Here is a 9,659-nt window from a genome sequence, read left to right as displayed (position 1 = left end):
TGCCTAGCTCAGGGTCAGCAGTCCTTAAATGCTGTCATTATTTATTTTATTTTATTTTATTTTATTTTATATATTTTATTTTATTTTTGAGACAGAGTCTCGCTCTGTCACCCAGGCTGGAGTGCAGTGGCATGATCTTGGCTCGCTGCAGCTTCTGCCTCCCAGGTTCAAGCAATTCTCCTGCCTCAGCCTCCCGAGTAGCTGGGACTACAGGCGTGTGCTGCCACGCCCAGCTAAGTTTCTGTATTTTTAGTAGAGACAGGGTTTCACCATGTTGACCAGGATGGTCTTGATCTCCTGACCTCGTGATCTGCCCGCCTTGGCCTCCCATAAATGCTGTCATTATTTTTATCTTCACTGGCCTCTGTGTCAAACATCAGAAGCTGTCACCTCTGCAACCTGGGGAGTCTGGAAAATGAAAAATAGTGATGATTGCCCTTAATCCTCCCAGCAACTCTATGACTGGGCACACTAGTATCTTTTTACAAATCCTGAGAGGTTGAGTCACTTGCCTTGGGTTCCAGAGAGAAAGGTCCAGGATTTGAGCCCCAGCCTGACTCCAACCCACCATCCAATTCTGTCCCATGTACAACAGGCACCAAGAACAGGCTGGAATTTTCTGTGGGAAGCTCCAAGCTTTGTCAATTGTCACTTCAAGTCTCCATGAGGATGGTATGGAGAAGCTGGAGGATGAGAAGAAGCAGAAAGGGAGAGAAGCCCAGAATTGTAATGAATCCCAGGAACAGGGCTTTTGACATCAGCACTCAGCCCTTTGGGCAGAGGTGTCCTGAGAATCCAAGGCAATTTGGCTAATGGGAAGCATTGGAAGCTGACAACTCCTTATCAAAGATTTTTCTGGATTAAGGTTGCAGGCTGTCTGGGAAACTACCAGTTTTTCTCCAAGGAAGGCCCCAGGGCTCCCTCCCAGGCTGAGCTGTTTCCTCCATGCAGAAACTCAGCTTGTTTCTTTACCACTTTAAAGCTGCCACCACTGGCTCTCATCTTGGGGAGCTGCCCTGTCCCCATCCCAGAGCTACCTGTGGAGTGGAATCTAGCCTCCCCTCCCCACTTCTTTTCTGTCTCCCAGAAAAGAAAGAGGCCTGTACCTAAGCCTCTTTCATTGTAGGGTTTTTCCTGGTGATTGTTACAGGGTGGGGAAGGAAAATATAATAGACAATGGAAAGAGCTTTAAGAACTGATAGCCTGATAGAGTGGAGTAATGGGGAGAATAGGGGTTTGAAGATAGACCCACCTAGACTCAAACTGTGATAAAATTATATCACTGATATGGCTGAGGTCAAATGACACAACTTCCCGGAGCCTCAGTTTAGTCATCCGAATAATAAAGATAATCCTTTACAGAGGGTGATTCAGCAAAAGCTCTCAAAATCTAAAATGCACACACTTGGCCAGGCACGGTGGCTCACTCCTCTAATCCTAGCACTTTGGGAGGCCAAAGCAGGCAGATCACCTGGCATCGGGAGTTTGAGACCAGCCTGGCCAACATGGTGAAACCCCATCTCTACTAAAAATACAAAAAAATCAGCTGGGCGTGGTGGTGCTAATCTGTAGTCCCAGCTACTTGGGAGGCCGAGGCAGGAGAATCACTTGAACCTGGGAAGCGGAGGTTGCAGTGAGTCACGCCACTGCACTCCAGCCTGGGCAACAGAGCGAGACTCTGTCTCAAAAATAAATAAATAAATAAAATGCACGCACTCTTCCACCACCAAGAAACTGCCCTACAGAAACAACTCTTGCCTATGATCAAAATTCAGTGCACAAAGAGTTCCATGACAACAAAAATTTGTCAATTTTCACCATCGGGAAATTGGGAAATGAATTATGGAGCATCCGTAAGATGAAATTGTTTTGCAGTTGTCAAAAAAATGAAGTAGGAAAAGGGAATATGTCAACAGCCCTTTCTTCTCCTCCAGTGGTTTCATGTACAGTCCTGCCTTACCCCGGTTGTCTTCCTTGTTGCCTGTGACCATGTCTTCTCACTGTATTTGGCCCCACACCTAGAGGAGCACCTTGAAACCAGTGGAGGGTCCACAGGAGCTGGTGAGTAGTGGAATGCCACAGAGCTGGGTTCCCTGCTACGTAACAGCTGATCTTCTGACCCTCCTGAAACCACCTCCCTTTACAGACAGGCAGTGGCAGCATGGCAGTGGAACCCAGGCCTCCCACTTCTTAGCCCAGGGCTCTTGCGCTTCCCCAAGCCCTCAAGCGTTTCCCATTAGCATCCAAACTCAGGGTCTCCTCATCACTGTCCTTGGCTGTTGCCACAGCCTTAGCTAAGGTGTCTTTCTGCCAGTCTGTCCTCTACATTGTTGCCAGAATATCTCTTAAAGCACAGCTCTGCCTTAGTCTAGTTTCTGGGTGGTGACAAAGGAAGTCCCACCCCACTGGCCAATCTCACATTATCTTCCATTAACCCCTTTTAAGAAGAGCCTTTGACTGGGCACGGTGGCTCATGCCTGTAATCCCAGCACTTTGGGAGGCCGAGGTGTTCCGATCATCTGAGGTCAGGAGTTCAAGAATAGCCTGGCCAACATGGTGAAACCTCATCTCTACTAAAAATACAAAAATTAGCTGGGCGTGGTGGCACGAGCCTGTTAATTCCAGCTTCTTGGGAGGCTAAGGCATGAGAATCGCTTGAACCTGGGAGGCGGAGGTTGCAGTAAGCCGAGCTCACCCCACTGCACTCCAGCCTGGGTGACAGAGCGAGACTCCTTCTCCAAAAAAAAAAAAAGAGAAGAGCCTTTGCTCCAGCCACCCCCATGCCTGGCAAACCCATGTCACAGAGCTGGGCTCCCTGCTACATAACAGCTCTCACCTTTGCCTTTGTTTATACTTTTTTCTCCTCCACCTGCGAAGGGGATTCTTCCCTGGATCTGCTTTTCTGCTGGGACCCTTTTCCATCTTTTTATACCCAAATCCTACTGATCCTCTCACAGGTGACCTCCAGGAAGCCTTCCTTAGTCACAGTCTTTCCCTCCATTCCTCCTACCCAGTGGCTCGGAATTCCGCCATTTATGGGACTGATCTCTGCCTTTAGGCAGGGAGAGTAATCACCACAGAGGGTTTCCCTTCCAGTCTCCCCCGACCCTGGGACCTGGCATTTCCCAGGCAGCAGATGCTCAATAATGACTTGAAAAATGATTAATGAGTAAACCAGAGCAATGGATTACTACAGGAATAATTTCCAAGTGACCGCAAGAGTAAATGAATGAATTGGCCTGAATTCGTGAAGGAATGATTAAAGCTGACCTTGGAGTCTCAGGGTCACTGGTTCCTTTTTCCCCAGATAATTGAAAGCCAACCATGCACGGGTCCCTGTTGTGGTAAAGAAAGTCCAGATACACACTAAGTTTGCAACTTTCTGGAGATTCCATGAGGACATCCCAGTCGAGAAACAACATAAACAGTAGCCACAGAAGAGACATATAGATGGCCAAACAAACATAAACATACAGTCACTTTCACTTATAATTTTTAAAAACATAATTTACAATGAGACATGGTTTTGTTCTTCTGTTACATGTGTAATGCTTAATTGGCAGAGGAGGGGAAACAGGTAGTCCCCAGTACTATTGGTGGGAACATTACCATATCTAACATTTGTGGAAGTCAACCTGGAAATGAACTTTCAAATTTTTAACTTGCAAATAGGTGTGCCCTTTGACCTAGCAATTTCATTTTAACAATGAATCTTAAAGATATAATTGGGCAAGAAGACAAAGATGTATGTACAAGAATTTTGGCTGAGTGTGGTGGCTCATATCTGTAATCCCCACATTTTGGGAAGCTGAGGAGGGTAGAGTCTTGAAGTCAGGAGTTTGAGACCAGCCTGGGCAACATAGTGAGACCCCCCCCCACCCATCTCTACAAAAACTAAAAAATCAACCAGGCATGACGATGGCACATGCCTGTAATTCCAGATGCTTGGGAGGCTGGGGTGAGAGGATCCCTTGAGCCTGGGAGGTTGAGGTTGCAGTGAGCTATGATTGCACCATTGCACTCCAGCCTGGGTGACAGAGTGAGACCGTGTCTCTAAAAAAAAAAAAAAAACCTTGTTTCTAAGAACAAAAAGTAGGAAATAGTATGTCTATCATTAACACTCTAAACAATTTATGCTTTATCCGCACAATGAAACAATCAAATCCTGTACGACCATTCAAAAGAATGAGGGAGGGCTTTCTGCACAGACAGGACATGATACTCCATATCATTAAGTGACAAAAGCAGATGACAAATCATATGATCTTTTTGATATATGATTAATAATTTTTATATGTGAATGGAAGCAGTATGGAATTCTATGCACCAACATGGTTAAGATTGTGAAAGGAAGAAACACTTTTGTGTTTTTAAATAAATAATCAGTGATTACTTTTATAATCAGGGAAATACATGATAGAGACAGCAGAGGGTCTTGGTTTGGGTCTCAGCAGCCTTGTTTCTGTTTTCCCTGCTCCTGGCCTCTGCTCAGTCACCGCCCAAGTCCTCACTCCCTGGGAAAGGCTGCCCCAGCCCACTTTTTTTTCTTTTCTTTTCCTTTCTTTTCTTTTATTTTTTTGAGACAGAGTTTCACTCTTGTTGCCCAGGCTGGAGTGCAAAGGCGCGATCTCAGCTCACCGCAACCTCCGCCTCCTGGGTTCAAGTGATTCTTCTGCCTCAGCCTCCCGAGTAGCTGGGACTACAGGCATGGGCCACCACACCCGGCTAATTTTGTATTTTTAGTAGAGACAGGTTTCCTCCATTTTGGTCAGGCTGGTCTTGAACTCCTGACCTCAGGAGATCCACCCACCTCGGCCTCCCAAAGTGCTGGGATTACAGGCGTGAGCCACTGTGCCCGGCCCAGCCCACTTTCTAGAACAATGGAAACAATGGTATTTTCTACAGCAGCGTCAAGAGCAACCTCCAGAATAAACCATGGGCTTACTTCAGTCCCTGCACAAGGGAGTGACGGCGTGAAGCTGCCACAGCTCAGGGAAAACGGCACTGGGCAGACCCTTAGTGACAGGTGTCCTCTTCCGGGCCTTGCCCATCTTTGTTTCAAGGTCACATTGCCTGTGGCTACTGCACTAACCACTCTTAGAACTCACTGACTTCATTCACAGCCCTAGGATATGAACTAACAAGGCTTGGGCAGAGTCTCAAATCAACCATACTAAGGGGAGGGGGAAAGGGTGTTATTTAACCCAGAAGCTCCATGGAAAGGAGACAACATAGTAAAGCAGTATTTGCTAACATCTGTTATTATTATTATTATTATCAATTATTTAGAGACAGGATCTCACTCTGTCGCCCAGGTTGGAATACAGTGGTGTGATCATAGCTCACTGCAGCCTTGACCTCCTGGGCTCAAGCGATCCTCTTGCCTCAGCCTCCTAAGTAGCTGGGACTACAGGCATGCACCATCATACTCAGTTAATATTTTTAAAATGTTTTTGTAAAGACGGGATCTTGCTATTTTGCCCAGGCTGGTCTTGAACTCCTGGCCACAAACAGTCAATGGCTTTGGACCTAATCTCTCTGAGCTTCAGGTTTTTTTCATATGTGAAATGAGATAGTGATTCCTATCTTTTAGGATTGCTGTGTGGAATAAATAGATTGTGCATGAAAAATACTTAACTCAGTGCCTAGCAGATAATAACTGATCAATAAATAGACATTGCTATATTAATCTTGTTGCTGTTACACTTTGGTTTGTAGAAGGTGACGTGCCTTCTTTACCTGCCCTCTCATCATGCCAGCTGGACTGTTTCAATGGGGAGAGTGCCTGGCACCACCGGGAACTTCATCAGCAAGCATAGGACCCCTGACAAGCAGCTGGCCGTCAGCGGATTAGAATGTCAAGGAGGAGATCCAACTCTAAGCTGCCTGAAGCTGTCTTAGGGAGGAAGTGAAAGAACTGCAAGTGAGAGACACCAAAGCCTCGAATGGGTTAAATTGTGTGTCCCCACCAAAAAATGTTCAAGTCCTAATCCTCGATACCTGCGCATGTGACCCTATTTGAAAATAGTGCCTTTGCAGACGATCAAGTTGAGGCCATAAGGGTGATCTCTACACCAGTATGACTGTGTCCATATAAAAAGGGGAAATTTGGACACAGAGACAGACATGCACATGGGGAGAATGCCACATGAAGGTGAAAACAGAGATCAGTGTGATGCATCTACAAGCCCAACACCACCAAAGATTGCCAGCAGACCACCAGGGGCTAGGAGAGAGGCATGGGGCGGATTCTCTTTTGCAGCCCTCAGAAGGAAACAGACCTACCGACACCTTGATCTGGACTTCTAGCCTCCAGGACTAGAAGGGACAACACATTTCTGTTGTTTAAGTTACCCAGTTGGTGGTGCTTTCTTATGGCAGCTCAAGTTAACTAATACAGCGGGGTATACTAAAGACAGGACAACCCTCTCCTTCTTGCCAACTGTGTGACCCTTGACAAGTTACCTACCCTCTCAGGGGTGAATTCCTTTTTTCTGTGTAATGGAGTTTTTGCTTTTGTTTTCAAGACAGGGTCTCACTCTGTCACCCAAGCTGGAGTGCAGTGGCATGATCATGGCTCACTGCAACCTCAAGCTCCTGGGCTCAAGCGATTGTCCCCCCTCAGCCTCCCGAGTAGCTGGGACTACATCACGCACCACCATGCCTGGCTAATTTTGTGGTGTTTTTTTTGTTTGTTTGTTTGTTTTGTTTTGTTTTGTTTGTAGAGACAGGGTTTCGTCATGTTACCCAGGCTGCAATGGAGTTAATGCTAGTGACTACCACAGGAAGTTCAGTGAGATGCTTATGACACAAATGCTCAGCATGTCACAAATGTCCAAATCAGTCACCACTGGAGATCAAAAGAGAAGGCCATGAAATTCATGTTATGTCTTTGTTTCCCCTTCAAAATTCTAAAATCTTTGTGGAGGAAATGATTCAAAATACTGAATCTCCAACAACACCAGAACAGTTCTCTGAACTCCATAAATGCTTAATAAATGTTTCTTAGTGAGGTGTGTTCCAAATTAGGATTTTATTAGAGTATTTATTAGAGTAAGTTCTATAATAAGAGCTTTTTTTTTTTTTTTTTCTGAGATAGAGTCTCGCTCTGTTGCCCAGGCTGGAGTGCAGTGGCTCAATCTCAGCTCACTGCAACCTCCGCCTCCTGGGTTCAAGAGATTCTCCTGCCTCAGCCTTCCAAGTAGCTGGGACTACAGGTATATACCACCATGCCTAGCCAATTTTTTTTTTTTTTTTTGTATTTTTAGTAGAGACGAGGTTTCTATGTTGGCCATATTGGCCAGGCTGGTCTTGAACTCCTGACCTCAAGTGATCCTCCCGCCTCGGCCTCCCAAAGTGCTGGGATTACAGGCGTGAGCCACCGCGCCCAGCCCTATAATAAGATCTTGATGCTTTTGCATCCTCAGTCCTGTCACAGTGTCTGCCACACTTAAGATGTTCAATAAATATTGATTAATTAGTATTGAATAAACAAATTAACCTCATGGGGCACATGATTTGGCCTGTAGGATAATTGAATCTATGGTAAGGGGCATTGTTTTATCAAGAAGTAATTTTAGCCAGTTCCTGTTATGATCTTAAACTGGGGAAATACAAAACAATAAGATAAGGCTTATTGAACATTTACTCTGTTGGATCCTGAAGCTTCATTCAGATTATCATTTGCATCCCTTAAAACAACAACATCAACTACAGCTCTTATTTTCATTTTGCCAATGTAGAAACTGAGGCTCAGAGAGATTAAAAACCTTCTCCAAAAGTCACAGTAAGTAAAGGAGAATCAGGAGTTGAACTCAGGAAATCTAATTCCAGTTTCCACACACTTAACCATTATAGCTTATTCCTTTCCTCTTACCAAATAAGTGGAACCCTGCCAGGCTCTTACAATCTAGTTCTAGAATCACTGAGTGTTACTGGCAGGGACCTTTAAAAGTATCTAATCTAATGGTCTTTTTAAAAACAATGAAACTGAGAACCTGCAAAGGCATGTGACTAGCCTCGATGAGAAAGTGGCCCAACTGGGGCTTGAGCCCAGGTCTCCCGCCCTCCATGCTGGTGTGCCTTGGTAGGAGTGTGGACCTGAACTACAACAGGTCATTCACCCAGGCCCCCAGCTCTCCATCCCACAAATGGGCAGGGAAAGGCAGGGAGGTATAAAACACCGGCTTCCTACCTTCTGCTTCGATCCACAGAGAAGACTTAGGCCAGAGTGGCCCTGCACGTCCGCCTTTCCCCTCTCAGGGAGTCCCTCTTTCTGGGTTTGAGTCTTGCCAGTCCGAAACACGTGCGAATAGAATCCCAAAAGCACAGGGCCCAGGCTTTTTTCTGGGCGATGTGCTGTTTTTTTTTTTATATCTCAGACTATGGCTGTTACTGTCCATGGGCTCAACTAATGCAGAGAATTGTAGGACATCTAGCCCTGCTCCTAAAGGAGGCAAAATGATCCTTATCATGCCTGTTATAGCCAAGGAAGGCTGGACCCAATTCCACAGAACTCGAGATGGCGCTTTTCATTTCAAAGAAAAGACACTATGAGCCTTTCTCATATTTCACAGCATGCTGTGTGTTGCACTTGACCTCTACTCTTGCCCTCAGCTTCCCCAGGTGGCCTCGCCTCCCTGCTGCAGCCCCAAAGCAGTAAAGCTACAGCTCTGGGCCATGGGCTGTGGCTTCAGTGATCTAGGACCTGATTCTCCTAAAAACCACAAATGGATAGTTCTTCCAAAGACCCAGGGTCCTCATAGAACTCTCTAGAAACAGTAATGATCTCCTTGGAGCTCAAACAGTCCCTGAGCTATCAGACCCTGCCAACACCAGGGCTTAATGCTCAGGGAACACATTTTATGAGAGCAACTGTCACTCCTGAGCTTCTGTGGGTCACTTGAAATCACCCAGTTATTTTTCACTCAGCTGAGGGGCAGTATAGTTCTGACGGGTGGCTTTGGGTTCACTGCCTTCAACTCCAGTCAGAAAACGTTAGTGCTGAAATGGATCCGGGGTACAAATAGTTGGGTTGTTGACATGCTTTCTTCTGTTGTATACATAAAGGTTCCACATACAAAAACCTATTTGCAAAGAGAGGTCAGATGCTTAAATGTGAATAATAAAAATGCTTATCCATGGGTACTCTAGTTTAATCTCCTCATTACAAGAGGAATCTGAGGCCCAGAGAGAGAAAGTGACTTGTCCAAAATCATACAACTAATATTGCAGCCAGCAATAGAACAAAGAGAGCTCAGGAATTCTGGGTCCCAGTGACTATGGAAAACAATTGTCTGAAATTTTACCACTAGAAATTGCTACTCCCTGCCCCATACTACCTGAGTCTTATTTAGGTAAACAGATAGTAAATATAAACATTATCATTGTAAAAAAATGTTTTAAAGACCAAATATATTTATAAAGTTTTTTAAAGTGATCTTTTGTACCCCTTTGTACTCTACCCAATCCCATTCATTTCCCGAAGGATGTCCGATGTTAACAAATGAGTGTCAAGTCCTTCTAGGCCTTTTTCTATGCACTTAGGAATGTGTTTACAATATATGACTGGGTTTTAAAAATACATACTTATATACTATATGTATGTAGATATAAGTATAAATTTATAAGCCATATTTATATATTATGCCATTTATAAA

The sequence above is a fragment of the Homo sapiens genome, chromosome 8, assembly GCF_000001405.40.
Source record: "Homo sapiens chromosome 8, GRCh38.p14 Primary Assembly".
NCBI classification, from domain to species: domain Eukaryota; kingdom Metazoa; phylum Chordata; class Mammalia; order Primates; family Hominidae; genus Homo; species Homo sapiens.
The sequence above is the reverse complement of the archived record's forward strand: the minus strand, read 5'-3'. Positions refer to the sequence as shown.